This window comes from Homo sapiens, chromosome 1, assembly GCF_000001405.40.
Source record: "Homo sapiens chromosome 1, GRCh38.p14 Primary Assembly".
Lineage (NCBI taxonomy): Eukaryota > Metazoa > Chordata > Mammalia > Primates > Hominidae > Homo > Homo sapiens.
This window is the reverse complement of record NC_000001.11, coordinates 62,418,794-62,433,706: the sequence shown is the minus strand read 5'-3', so window position 1 is coordinate 62,433,706 and position 14,913 is coordinate 62,418,794. Positions and strand designations below refer to the sequence as shown.

The following is a 14,913-nucleotide window of genomic DNA, read 5'->3' as shown; positions in this document are numbered from 1 at the left end:
CTCTTAATGACAGCTAATCCCTTTGGAAACAATGGGATTTAATAGGTTCACAGCATTCTCAATCCTATATTTGTCAGTCTTGTGTGGGTAAATGCCAGGCATATTTCCTTCCAAAGTTTCACAGGCACTGTTTCTGTGTACAGTCATCCCTTGGTATCCATGGGGGATTGGTTCCAGGACCGTTATGGATATCAAAATCCGAGGATGCTCAAGTCCCATATATAAAATGGCATAGTATTTGCATACAACTTATGCACATCCCACCTATACTTTAAATCATCTCTAGATTACTTAATTACCTAATACAATGCCTACACATCATTCACATGGATTTAACATAGTATTTAACACTTGGCACGTGGCAAATTCAAGTTTTGCTTTTTGGAACTTTGTGTACCTTTTTCATAAGATTTTTTGATCTGTGGTTGGTTGAATCCATGTATATGGAACCCATGAATGTGGAGGGCCAACTGTACTTCAGTCTAAAGGTATAGAAGAAGTGTGGTTTTTTTCCGCCCTTTAAATCTTCAAATTATGAAACTTTTATTTTTATTTTTTTGAGATGGAGTCTTGCTCTGTCCCCCAGGCTGGAGTGCAATGGCATGATCTTGGCTCACTGCAACCTCCACCTCCTGGGTTCAAGCAATTCTCCTGCCTCAGCCTCCCAAGTAGCTGGGATTACTGGTGCCTGCCACGACGCCCAGCTAATTTTTGTATTTTTAATAGAGACGGGGTTTCACAGTGTTGGCCAGGCTAGTCTCGAACTCCTGACCTCGTGATCCGCCTCGGCCTCCCAAAGTGCTGAGATTACAGGCATGAACCACCACGTCCCGCCCAAATTATGAGACTTTTAATCCACTTGGATTACAGCAGAATTTCTCCTTTAGCAAAACTGTATTCTTTTCCATTTCTACATGCAAATTGGTTACTTCTGGCCTGAATTCATATCTCATAGAACTTGGTTTAAAGTGTCAAGAAAAAGCCAGCAAATACCAAGTTTATAGATATTTCCAGCCATTTCCCTTCGTGCCACAATTTTGATTGGCGTGTGATCTGTCTTCTAAAGCTGGCAACAGGTTTACCAAATGTCTGGCAACTGGAGAACAAAGGTCACCAGTTTTCCATCTTGCAGTATCTGAGTCTTTACCACCCACTGCCCAAATGCTTCCACTAAAAACCACATTTCTTTTAAGGTTATGTGTAGCACAAATTTATAGGAACCAAACTCTGCATCCGATAGGAATAGGTTTGTTTATAAGTAACAGAATATTTTTAAGTGTCCTTAGCTAAAATTAATATTCATGTCTTTATCATGTATACATAATGCAGAAGTAGGCAGTCTAGATTAGTATGGTGGTTCTGTGACCATCAGGGACCTAATTAATTTCTTCCATTCTCAACATGTGGCTTCTACCTTTCGGTCCTTTATAGCTGTTTAAATTCCAGCCATCATGTCTACAGTCCTATGCAGGAAAGAAAAAAGGACAGAGATGACCATGGTCCCCTCTCTTTAAGGATACTTCCTGGAAGCTGTACACACCATTCCTACTTATAGCCCATTGGCCAGAACTTAGTCATTTGACAACATTATTCTGGGTGGCTATATACCCAACTAAAAATCAGGGGTTATAATATTAAGGAAGAAGGATAGAATGGATATTAGAGGACAAATAGCATTCTCTGCTATGCCTCCCTTACCAGGTTAAAAAAAAATCCCCAGCTGGTGAAGATATCCCCAAAAGATGAAAAATGGAAAAGTACTGTACAGCTTTTGGTTCCTTGAAAAGAGAATATGCTGGGTATCTGTTTGCCCTTGTGGTAGATATGGAGATGAGCTGCCCAGATCCCCCTTCAAGGAGGGACTTGCTCCCAAGCTGCAAAGACTACCTCCAGTTGTCAGTTCCATCAGACTCTGCTTCAATCGCAGACAATGGCCTTGCCCACAGTCATGCTCTCTGCAGCCTAAACTGGGTGATTAAGCAAGGCTGGACTATAAAGGCTCAGCCATTATGGCCACCACTGGACACCTCTGATGGGCAGTATTCACTCCAGAGCTCTTAGCGAGGCTGGCCAAAGCTTTATTGGACCTGTACTGGAATTTGACTTCATTCTCTTACCAGTCCTACTTCCTCTCCCTTCCTTTCACATCTTATGCTCCAGCTTTGTCTCTCTCTGCACCTGCTCCTCAAGAAGGCTGCCTGCAAGAATTAGTACGAGGATTGGTTGGAGAAAGTAGACAACCAGATGAGGTTTGGGAGCTGAATTATAGACTACCTAGCAGGTGGTAGGTGAAGCATAGTCAGCTCCTGGCACAAGGTAATGGTCCAATCAGGATGATGTACCAGGTGGAAGAGAATGCACTTGCAGGTGTGATATATCTGGCAGTTAACATATATGGTGGAAGTTGTAGCTATAAGAATAATAGAATTGGATGGCTATTGCTAAACTCCATTGGTTACAGAAAAATAAAAAACAGCTAAGGGTAGGTAATAAGCAATTGAAGGTCTGGTGTGAAAGCCAGAGCACCTGTTCGTTGCATAAAAAACAGCTCTCATCTGCAGGGGAAGGGTGGAGAAAGCTGAGCATCAAGACTACTTTAGAGTGGTCAAACTTAAAAGATGGTTAAATGCCTAAAATAGGTCTGTTGTGTCAAAGTCAGGGTCATGGTTGAGAAAATCTAGCACCCTGACACATGGAGGGTCCATCTGGGTAGTGATCATGAAAATTTTGATTCCCCAGGCTCCTCTGAAGCCTGCAGTGTGGCCCCTCCTCCCTACTCAGAGCTATCACTTTCCTGTACTAGAAGACATTGCAGAGGCTTCTACTTGAAAGGCATGTTCTCCCTTCCGCCAGCACTCACACCTGTCATCTAGCCTTCTAGCCAGTAGATCTATAATTAGGGTTAAATCATAGCATAACCTAGTTGGGAAGGTGCTGTACCTGATGGGTAGAGGTAAATGACTGTTCCCCAAAGAAGATGTAAGACCTAGACAAGCACGTACCAACAGGAGCTTCAGAAGAGTACATGGGGCTGGATTCAGATGATGCTTAAGCAAGGGGAGCTAGAACATAAAATTGAATGGGAAAGTTATATTGAATTTGGAGTATTCTCCCAAATACAGGATTTAATATTCTGCCAAGGACCCCCAAGAATTGACGTGAACATTCACTAACTACTACAATGGCTCCTAAAAGCATGGGAAAAGAAAACGAAATGCTAGGAGTGCTAGGGCAGGCAGGTGGCTCAAAAAGGGATTAAAAGGTTGACAGAAATGGGTCTGCTGGAGTGGATATATTACGTACGCCTGGAAGGTTATGATCATTATGTTCTGAGGGAAGGCCCAGAGGACACACCATTTACCAAGGCCATTAGGGAATGCACTGGTGCAAAGGACATAAACATCACTAAAAACCTCAGTGGTGGCTCTCTGCAAGCCAGGACTGATGGTAGCAGAGGCCTCCCAGACTTTGACTCACTGATAGCAATGGAGATGATAGACCCCAAAACAATACTGGCCAACTGGCAGTGCTTAATTACTAGAAGCCAGGAGGTCGCAATTATAATGACCTACCAAGGGGACTTGACCCTCAGAGAGTTATAGAAATGGTTACTAGATGGTGGCGTCTTTAGGGGCAAAATAGATAGACAACCAACTAAGCTCTATTATTTTGTACCAGTGGGGAAAAAAAAGTTAAGGATAGATGACCAGGATGCTAAGGATAGTCACCCAATAGTCAATTCCTTAGTTTCCAGACCAGAGCATTTTTAGACCTGGAACCCATTGACTGAAGAGGCCAGGAGGAAGGACTTTGCTATACCTCAACAAGTATAAATGGTAATGGTTTCCTCAGTCCTTCCCCAAAGGGATCTTTAGTCATTTACTTGGGTAATTGTACCCTGGGGAAATGGACATACCCAAACATGCCAAGGATTGTGAGACAGAGGGTATGAATTTAACTTGTTATCCACAGACCACAAGCATCATCGTGGCCTTCTGTTATAATGGGGGCATAAAGAAGCCAGTTAATAAATGGAGTCATGGCAAGGTCCGGCTCAGAGTGAGTTTACTACTGGATCTGTGACCACAACTAATTATCATTTCCCCACTCTTCAAATGTATAATGGAGTTGTCATTTTTGGCAATTGATGCAAATGCATTAGGACTTTTGCCTATGGGGTAAAAGCTATAATGGTGGGGAAGGCCAAGTGAAAGCCTTTGAAACTGCTTCCCAGCTCCAGAGAAACATGGCACAGTCTCTTAGTCAGCTCAGTCTGCTATAACAAAATACTATATACTGGGAAATTTAGACAACAGACATTTACTTCTCATAGTATTGGAGGCTGGAGAGTCCAAGATCAAAGTCCCAGCAGATTCAGTTTCTGGTGAGAGCTCTTTCTAGCCTGCAGACAACCACCTTTTTGCTGTGTCCTCACATGGCCCTTTCTCAGTGTGAGTGTGTAGAGAGGGAATTCTGAATTCTGAATTCTTCCTCTTACTATAAGGATACTAATCCCATGGTGGGGGCTTTACCCTCATGACCTTCTGTGTTCCCTAAAATTCATGTTGAAACCTAATGCCCGGCATGATGGTATTTGGAGGTGAGGTGTTTGGGAGATGATTAAGGAATGATATCAGTTAAAGAGACCCCAGAGAGTGCCCTCACACTTTCCCCAGGCTGAGATGCAACAAGAAGACACCTATCTTTGAACCAGGAAGACTTCACCACATACAGAATCTGTCAGTGCCTCAATCTTAGACTTCCTAGCCTCTAGAACTATTAGAAATAAATTTCTGTTGTTTATAAGCCACACAGTCTATGGTATTCTGTTATAGCAGCCCAAATGGACTAAGATATAATCTAAACCTAGTTATCTCCCAGAGACCCTACCTCCAAATACTATCATACTGCGGGTTAGGGCTTCAACATATGAATTTTGGGGGGACACATAGGAAACACATACAGGAAATCAAACAATATTATATCTCAAGAGAAGATGGCAGGAATTCGTGTCACTCTTAAGATTTTAAAGGAAACAGAGGTGCTGATTCCCATCATATCTCTGTTTAATTCACCATATGGCCCGGCAAAAATAGATGGACTCTGAAGGATGACAGTAGATTACTGCAAGTACAACCCATTAGTAGGCCTGATCGCAGCTGTCATGACAGATGTGGTGTATTTGCTAGAGTTGATTAATACATCCTCAGATATTTGGTATGCACCACTGATTTTAGTGAATGCATTCTTTTCTATTCCAATCGTAAGAAAGGATCAGAAACAGTGGCATTCCATGAAACAGACAAAAGTGCACATTGGCTGGATGTGGTTGCTCATGCCTGTAATCCCAGCATTTTGGGAGGCCAAGGCAGGAGAATTGCTTGAAGCCAGGAGTTCAAGACCAGTGTGGGCAACAGAGTGAGATCCTATCTTTACGTTAAAAAAAAAATTAATTAGCTGGACGTAGTGGTGAGCATCTCCCAGCTACTCAGGAGGCTGAAGTGGTAGGATCGCTTGAGTCCAGGAATTTGAGGCTACAGTCAGCTACAATTGTACCACTGCACTCCAGCCTGGGTGACAAAGCTAGACCCTATTTCTTTTTATTTATTTATTTTTTTGAGACGGAGTCTCACTCTGTCGCCCAGGCTGGAGTGCAGTGGCGCAATCTCGGCTCACTGCAAGCTCCGCCTCCCGGGTTCACACCATTCTTCTGCCTCAGCCTCCCAAGTAGCTGGGACTACAGGTGCCTGCCACCACACCTGGCTAATTTTTTGTATTTTTAGTAGAGATGAGGTTTCACCATGTTAGCCAGGATGGTCTCGATCTCCTGACCTTGTGATCTGCCCGTCTAGGCTGCCCAAAGTCTATTTCTTTTTTATTAAAAAAAAGTACACATTTACGGTTTGGTTCCAGGGCTATATTAACAGTATTCCTGCCCTCTATCATAAAATAGCCTGAAAAGATCTGGACCTTCTGGACATCCTGCATCACATTGATCTACTACATCAATTACGTCCTCTTGATTGTGCAGGATGAGCAAATTATAAGTTTCAGGAGAATTAAAGAACTGAAAGTGTACATGATTGGTGGAGATGCAAAGGAGTGTACAAAAGAAAGCTAAATCCTCATCTTCTGTATTGGGAAATCGACAAAATGGTAACTAAAAAATCAAGAAGAAGAAATATAAACATAGTTGTTTTGTTTTGTTTTGTTTTGTTTTGTTTTGTTTTGTTTAAGACAGGGTCTCTGTCGCCCATCCTGGAGTGCAGTGGTACAATCACGGCTTACTGCAGCCTCAACCTCCGATGCTCAAATGATCCTCCCACCACAGCCTTCTGCATAGCTGGAACTACAGGCCCACTCCACTATACCCGGCTAATTTTTTGGTGTCGTTTTTGTAAAGACAGTGTTTCACTGTGTTGCCCAGGCTGTTCTCGAACTCCTGAGCTTAAGTGATCCACCCACCCCAGCCACCCAAAGTGCTGGGATTATGGGTGTGAGCCACCATGCCTGGCCTAAACATGTTATTTAGACATGTGAAGGTAAATACCAAAGAATCAGTCAAAAGTTGAAAATGGTTGCCTTGGAGGATAGGAAGATATGTTGAAACCTTTAACTCATGTACATGTATAACTTTGAATTTTCTTTTTTTTTAGAGACAGGGTCTTGCTATGCTGCCCAGTTTGGTCTTGAACTCCTGGCCTCAAGGGATCCTCCTGCCTCAGCCTCCTAAAGTGCTAGGATTATAGGCATGAGCCACCACACTTGGCCTATATATAACTTGGAAGAAGGCAAAAACCTTTTTTTAAAAAAAGCACTGTAAATGAATTGTTTTCTTATTTCATCCTTTGGGAAAGGTCAGAGCAAATGGGCACAATAGGAGGAGGAGAATATTTTGGATTAGAGTGACGATTCTTCTGACATCGTAGTTGTAAGTTAAAGAAAGGCTCAGTGTGTGACCCATTGGCCTTCATCCAGCATTTTTAGTAAAGGTAACCAACCTCGAAACAACTGGTGAAATCACTATTCAGTAATTAAATTTAAACAAAAGATTAATCCACAAACTAAAATCTGTTTAAAAGGTAAAAATTCAGCTTTTCTGGCTGCTTTAGAGGAAAAAGGAGAACATAAAAATAAAAAGCTAAAATCTACTTGGCTTCAGAATTTTCAATTCTTTTTCAGTTTCTAGCCCCAGGGTCAGGTGGGAGGACCTCTCATGCCTATGAAAGGAATGCCTTGCCGCACCTTCCTTAATGTTTGGTAACAATTTAGTGGATGAATGTCCGGTAAGTGGGCGGGTGCTGAGGGGGATGCAGGAAGTCTCATGAGCCTATTTATATTTTACAGGAAGAGTCTGTCTTTCTCATGCCATTAACATTCTCTTATTCTTTATATGTTTAAACCATCCTGAAAAGAGACCTACACTTAAACTTCAACAATATTTTTTCCTTCTCTGAATAAAATTTGCTATAATAAAATACTAGGTATTTGAAGAGAAAATAAATTATTATTTTCTTTTGAGTATCATGGCTTAAAGACCCATGGCTTTTTACAATCTTAACTTGCTTTAAGAATAATTTTTATTTCCTTTTTGAAGCAAAAAATAAATGGTCACAATTTAATATGTGGGAACTCCTTTTCACTAGCTTCTGGGTCCTCTTACGTTTTGAAAGCATCCTTACCTTCTGGCAAATTCCAGGTCCATCTTTAAAAATATTTTCTAACTAACTTGAGTATGTCATATAACATACTTTTTTTACCATATTATATGTTTAAATCACAATATTATTAAAGGTTTATAAACCTTAGTTTTAAAAAATAAATCTTATTTAAGCATGTCATAATATACTATTCATTTTATATTACTTTGCCATTTTATGTTGGACTTTGTTTCTTTTATTATTATTATTTTTTGAGACAGTCTTGCTCTGTCACCCATGCTGGAGTGCAGTGGTATGATCATAGCTGCAGGTTTGAACTACTGGGCTCAGGTGATCCTCCCTGCCCCAGCCTCCTGAGTAGCTGGTACTACAGGCACACCCCACCGTACCCAGCTAAATTTTTTTTTTTTAAGGACAGAGTCTTGCTGTGTTGCCCAGACTGGTCTCTATCTTGCTTCTAGCCTCACGGGCTCTAGGCTAGCTGTCTTTGCTCACTCCTCAGGGTAGGCCAAGCTAACCATGGGGGGAATTTTTTAAAGCAAGAATGATAATAGTCCTTCCCTAAACCTGAGTTTGGGAACTGAAACTGCCTTTGTCAAACTAATAAAAGGCCAAAAGATTAGGATTATGAGAGGGGCCTGAATTCTGCTAGAATGTAGGCATAGTTTTAAGGTAGAAGGCAGGACTCAGAGGCGGGACTCAGACATGGGACCAGATTGAGGTCTAGCTAAAACAAGGCCAGGGCAAAAACAGCTTTCAATCAGATATGTCCACCAGTGTGCCATGTCAATTTACCGTTGCCATGGCAACACCCGGGTGTTACTGCTCCTTTCCATGGCAATGACCCAATGATCCAAAAGTGACTACCCCTTCCCTAGAAATTTCTGCATAAATCGCCCCTTAATCTACATGCAGTTAAAAATGGGTATAAATATGACTGCAAAACTGCCCTGAGCTGTTACTCTCTGCCTAGAGGTAACCCTGCTCTGCATGTAACACCGCCTCTTCAGTAAAGCTGTTTTCTTCTAAAGTCCTTAAAATAAAATTTTAAAAAATGTAAAAAAGCTGTTTTCTCCTACCTCTGGCTTGCCCTTGAATTCTTTCCTGGACAAAGCCAAGAACTCTCGTGGGCTAAACTCCACTTTGGGGCTCACCTGCCTTGCATCAGTTTCCCCAATCTCTTTCTGTCAAGCCTAGAGGTCACAAGATTTTACTTCCCCAGTTGCTCCTATAGATAACATCACTATTATAGAACCCAAGATTGTTCTTCTTAGATGTTTGTCAGACTTTTGGCAAATGATTGACCCCACCCATACTGTGACTCATGACTCAGCCAGTCCTGCGCCCCCACAAGAGGGGTACACAGTGCACGAGGATTGTTTTCCACACCCCTATGATTGCATCCCCAACCAATCAACAGCATCCATTCCCTTGTTCCCTGCCCACCAAACTATCCTTGAAAAACCTAACCTCTGAGCCTTCAGGGGGACTGTTTTGAGTGATAACTCCAGTCCTGCTTGGCTGCCTTGCAATCATTAAACTCTGTACTGTAATACTGTGGTCTCAGTGAATTGGTTTTATCTGTGCAGTGGGCAGGAAGAACACGTGTGGCGATTACAGCATCTGGCCCTCATTTTGGACTTTGAAAACAGCCCGTGTATTTTTCAATTAAAGAAATATACAATATACAGTGTACAGTATACAGAAGTATATAAGCTCTAATATGTGGATTGTGTGATGGTTATGATGTATTTTTCCTTCTTTCAGCCTAAATACCTTGGAATTAGGTTTTGTATAGGTCTTGGTATGGAATCACCCCAAAACTTGGTGACTTAAAGTAACAATTATTCCTCACGTTTCTCCGCTTTGGCCGCATAGTTCTGCTGATCTTGCTTGGGCTCCCTCATTGGCTACATTCAGCTAGTGGGCCAGCTGGGCCTCTCTCTCCCTGTGATTACTCCGCCTCAGGAGGGCCGGATCTGGCTTTTCCACGTGGTGATGGCAGCAGCATTCCAAGGGGGAAAGTCCATGTACAAGCACATGCGAAGCCTCTGCCTATATTTCAGTATTATTGCGTCATTGTCCAAAGCAAATCTCATAGCCAGGCCTAAAGTCCATGTGGGAGGGGATTTCACAAGGGCATATATATGGTGTCCTTAATGTTATAGTTCACCCCAGTCTTCCTACATTGTCTTTTTTATTTTTTTTGTGAGACAGGATTTTGCTCTGTAGCCCACCCTGGAGTGCGGTGGCGCAATTTCGGCTCACTGCAACCTCTACCTCCCAGGCTCAAGCAATCCTTCTGCCTCAGCCTCCCGTGTAGCTGAGACAACCGGCCTATGCCACCACGCCCAACTAATTTTTCTATTTTTTGCAGAAATGGGGTTTCACCATGTTACTTAAGCTGGTCTTGAACTCCTGAGCTCAGTGACCTACTATTTATATAGAATTTTATGAAATTTGGTCTAAATATTCTCTTAACTATAGTTTTTGCATACAAATATGTACCTCCTAGTGTTGTTTTTATCTTTTACCAAAGCAATTCAGTGTTGCACTCTAATTTATTTCCTTTAAGTCTTTGAATAAATTTATGTATTTACTTCACCTACAGCCCCAAAGCCAAATTAAGAAACTTTTAAAGCAATTTACTATTAAAATATGATAAAATTTATATTAAAATTAAGAATTATCATAGAAAAAAAATCACAGTTTAAAAACTACCCAGTAAAATTAAGCAAAATGCTATATATTTTTTTTGAGACAGAGTCTCGCTCTTGTTCCCCAGGCTGGAGTGCAATGGTGCAATCTCGGCTCACTGCAACCTCCACATCCCAGCTTCAAGCGATTCTCCTGCCTGAGCCTCCTGAGCAGCTGGGACTACAGGCGCCCACCACCATGCCCAGCTAATTTTTGTGTCTTTAGTAGAGACGGGCTTCCACCGTGTTGGCCAGGCTGGTCTCGAACTCCTGACCTCAGGTGATCCGCCTGCCTCGGCCTCCCAAAATACTGGGATTACAGGCGTGAGCCACCGCACCCAGCTGCCTTGTATGTTTATATTTTAACATTTCATCTGTGATTCAGAACCAATTTATAAGAGAGTGGTATGTGAATTGCATTTCAAATGTAATCCCATGTGTACATGTAATTCCTTACATTTAAACATTATTCAATTAGCCACTAAATATTTTAGCTACTTTAGGAAAAATATCTGAATCTTTTCAAGGAATACAATAAACCATGTTTGTATTCCCAATTTTATGTTTTGTAGGTCTACATCTTCCCTGATGATGTGAACCATAAAATCACATTTAAAATATTAACGTTCACTTTTATTTTTTTATTTTTTTGAGACAGAGTCTCGCTCTGTCGCCCAGGCTGGAGTGCAGTGACACGATCTTGGCTCACTGCAACCTCCGCCTCCCAGGTTCAAGCAATTCTCCTGCCTCAGCCTCCCGAGTAGCTGGGACTACAGGCTTGTGCCACCACACCCAGCTAATTTTTATATTTTTATTAGAGACAGGGTTTCTCCATATTGGCCAGACCAGTCTCGAACTCCTGACCTCGTGATCCACCCTCCTCGGCTTCCCAAAGTGCTGGGATTACAGGCATGAGCCACTGCACCCAGCCTAAAGTTCATTTTTAAAACTTAATTTTACCAGCCGGGCAGGGAGGCTCACACCTGTAATCCCAGCACTTTGGGAGGCCGAGGTGGGCGGATCACAAGGTCAGGAGTTTGAGACCGGCCTGGCCAATATGGTGAAACCCCATCTCTACTAAAAATACAAAAATTAGCCAGGCATGGTGGTGCGCGCCTGTAGTCCCAGCTACTCTGGAGGCTGAGGCAGGAGGATCGCCTGAACCTGGGAGGCAGAGGTTGCAGTGAGCCGAGATTATGCCACTGCACTCCAGCCTGGGCGACAGAAAGAGGCTCCATCTCAAAAAAAGAAGAAGAAAGAAAAGCTTAATTTTACCAATATATTTTCTTTTTAACTTATTAGCATTAATGCTAACAATCTCCACAATAAGAAATGTTAATTTTCCTACATTTGTTATAGCATATATTTTATTTTATTTTACTTTATTATTATTATTTTTTTTAGAGACAGGGTCTCATTCTGTCATCCAGGCTGGAGTGCAGTGGTACCATTATAGCTCACTAACTTCAAACTCCTAAGTTGAAGCACTCCTTCCACCTCAGCCCCCTAAGTAGCTAGGACTACAAGTGTCCACCACAACACCAGGCTAATTTATTTATTTTTTTGTAGAAATGGGGTCTTGCTATGTTGCCCAGGCTCATATCAAGCTCCCAGCCCCAAATGATCCTCCACCTTCGTCTCCCAAAGCAGTGGGATTACAGGTGTGAGCCCCTGCACTCAGCCATATATTTTATTACCTTTGAATTTAAACACAATATACAAATTCTAAGACTTGGAATTATAAAATTTGCATCAAAGACAAAAACAGAACCTATATATGATTTTTCTCTTTCTATCATAAAAGGAAAAGGAGTGGCATCGCTCCCTATGCTCAATTCAGAAACTGGTCTTTGGGTATCAAGATTCAAATTCACACCTTTTTTTCCCCACTGAAGAGTTAGGCATGGAGAAACTGTGTATGTGTTATCATATATGTAGGTATGTGTGTGGACAGGACCATGTAAAAGCATCTTATTATTACACTGTAATATAATTTTTCTGTCTGTATGCTTTCACTTTTTTTTGGAGCAGGTAAGTTAATTTTTTTCTTCTGTAAGAGTATGCTGAGTATGCTGGATAAATAATTAGTTAAAACAATTTAACTCATAATAATATCTTCGCTTTATTGATTTATCACAATACCAATAAAAGTTATATATTTAGGTCTGCATGTAAAACATGATTATCAGTATTTATTCTTTCAAACAGATGTTTTACAATAATTTGGTTTCATACCTTTTATCAATGGAAGATTTATGTCTTCATAAGGATTTTATTTGGCTGCTTGGAAGGAACCTTCTCACCAATCACTTTTTGAGATCTTGAGACATCCAAATACCTCTCAAAAACTCAATTAGTTTGTGAAACATTTGCACAAATTACATGGCTTTTAGGTCATGCTCTTTCAATTCTTTGTCTTTAAAAACGAAAAACATATTAACTCATGTTAAAAGTTACTCATATGGGCTGGGCGCAGTGGCACACACCTGTAATCCCAGCATTTTGGGAGGCCCAGGTGGGTGGATTGCTTGAGCCCAGGAGTTCGAGACCAACCTGGGCAACATAGCGGGACCCTGTCTCTGCAAAAAACTAAAATTAGCTGGGCATGGTGGCACACGCCTGTAGTCCCAGCTATTCGAGAGGCTGAGGTAGGAGGATGGCTTGAGCCCAGGAGTTGGAGGTTGCAGTGAGCCAAGATCATGCCACTGCACTTTAGCCTGGGCCACAGAGCAAGACTGTCTCAAAAAAAAAAAGTTACTCATATGTATAATTTTTAAAATGTTTTGCTTTCATCTGGAATTATAAATTCTACAACAATTTCTGCTACCTCTTGATCACTCTCTTGTCTTTTTGTCGGTTGGGATATAAAAAGCAGGCTGGGCTGACTACCTTGTTTTGCTGAACTTTGACCTGGCCTTTTAGATTCCTGAAAGCTCCTCAGCTGAGATTTCTATAAGCACTGCTTGTTTCCTCATCCATTAACAGTCTAATCCACTCAGCTGTCTTGGGTCTGAGTTGTAAATGCATCCTTAAGACAGCAACAACTTGTCCCAAATTACCTGTGATACACCATTTTTCAACATTTATAAATCAACAACATTTATATAAACATTAAATATGTTGATGGACATATCCTTGAACTACCCTCTATGTCTTAGTTCTCACAAAAACAAACATGTTCAGACTACTCAGCCTTAGTTTACCCAGGGTATTTTCTCAGTTCACACAGGGTAGCAGCACACTCAAACTGAGTCTATTCTTAGCTCAAGACACTTTAAGCGTAAAGACCAAACCATCCAGATCCTCTTCCCTAAAGATGCCTTGAAGCAGTGTAGCTGGGGCTGCCTGGCAAGTGTACCTCTGGGAGAATTCAAGGACATTGCCTTGTTGAGTCCACAGTCTTGAACCTATTGCCTCAAGTATTCACATAATCAGAAGTGGCTATACTGTATCTCAATTCATACAGGGACACCCACTCATCGATGCTGTATTTTTCTTTAAGTCTAAACACCATGTTTGACCAAGCGTGGTGGCTCACTCCTGTAATCCCAGCACTTTGGGAGGCCGAGGCAGGCAGATCACCTGAGCTCAGGAGTTCAAGAGTTCAAGAGCAGCCTGGGCAACACAGCGAGACCCCATCTCTACAAAATAAATAAATAAACAAACACCATTTTTATGTTTTTCTTACCTAAGAATAAGTCTAGCACGTCTGTCAACAAAATGAATACTCCTAGACCAAAGCTAGGCTCTCAGGCTGTTCTCCATGGAAGGACTCCAACAGTGATTTCAAAGGGCTTATGGATTTTCTCTGCAGAGGTGGACATCCCATCCAACTATTCATCTATTAAACATAGTAACTCCGAGTCAGGGGACCACCAGTTGTTGAAAGAAACCAGACTTCAAACTGTCTGTGAAGATTTGCTGGATAGTATTTTAATTTGGCTAAAATTTTAACAATTGCTGGAGAAAGACCAGAAAGTATTAGAAAGAGATCATCTGCATAATCAAAATTTTCTCATTCCCAGAGGCGAGACAGACATATTTTTATAACAAAAAAAGTTACATGAAAGATACAGTTTTGACTTTGTTCCACTTCAGTCTTTTTTTTTTTAAGTTCAAGCAGAAGGGTCATTTGAACCCAGGTGGTTGAGGCTGCAGTGAGCCAACATTGTACAGCTGCACTCCAGCCTGGGTGACAGTGAGACCTTGTCTCAAAAAACAAAACAAAAAACAAACAAAAAACCCCATAAATAAAAAGACTAATAAATTTGACCATATTGCAAGTAGGAACTTCAAAACAAAGCGAAACATAAAAAGTGAAAAGGCAAGTCTCACAGATGAATTTAAAAAAAATAAATTGACAAGTTGACTCTAAATTTACTTGGAAATGCAAAGCAACTCTAGAATAGTTAATTCTGAAAAGGAAGTACAATATCAGAGGACTTTCTCTACTTGATTTCAAAACTCACTATAGAGCTACAGCAATCAAGATTGTGTGGTATTGGTATAAGAATAGACATATAGATTTCTAAAACAAAATAGAGTCCAGAAACAGA

The 14,913-nt window shown here is 41.3% G+C and overlaps 1 long non-coding RNA gene across 3 annotated transcripts; it reads right to left on the bottom strand.

Annotated features, from left to right (window-relative positions):
* Positions 1-2,116: 2,116 nt before the first annotated feature.
* LOC105378768 (uncharacterized) lies at positions 2,117-9,891 on the bottom strand. Of its 3 annotated transcripts, none has more exons than XR_007066146.1 (3): positions 9,517-9,891; positions 3,003-3,062; positions 2,117-2,198 (listed from the first exon to the last, which is right to left on the bottom strand). It is a non-coding gene; the product is annotated as an uncharacterized LOC105378768 (long non-coding RNA). The 3 variants fall into 3 exon arrangements; XR_947449.3 differs by having other exon boundaries at positions 2,123-2,198; positions 2,941-3,062; XR_007066147.1 differs by having other exon boundaries at positions 2,123-2,198; positions 2,941-3,062; positions 9,438-9,525.
* Positions 9,892-14,913: the final 5,022 nt, after the last annotated feature.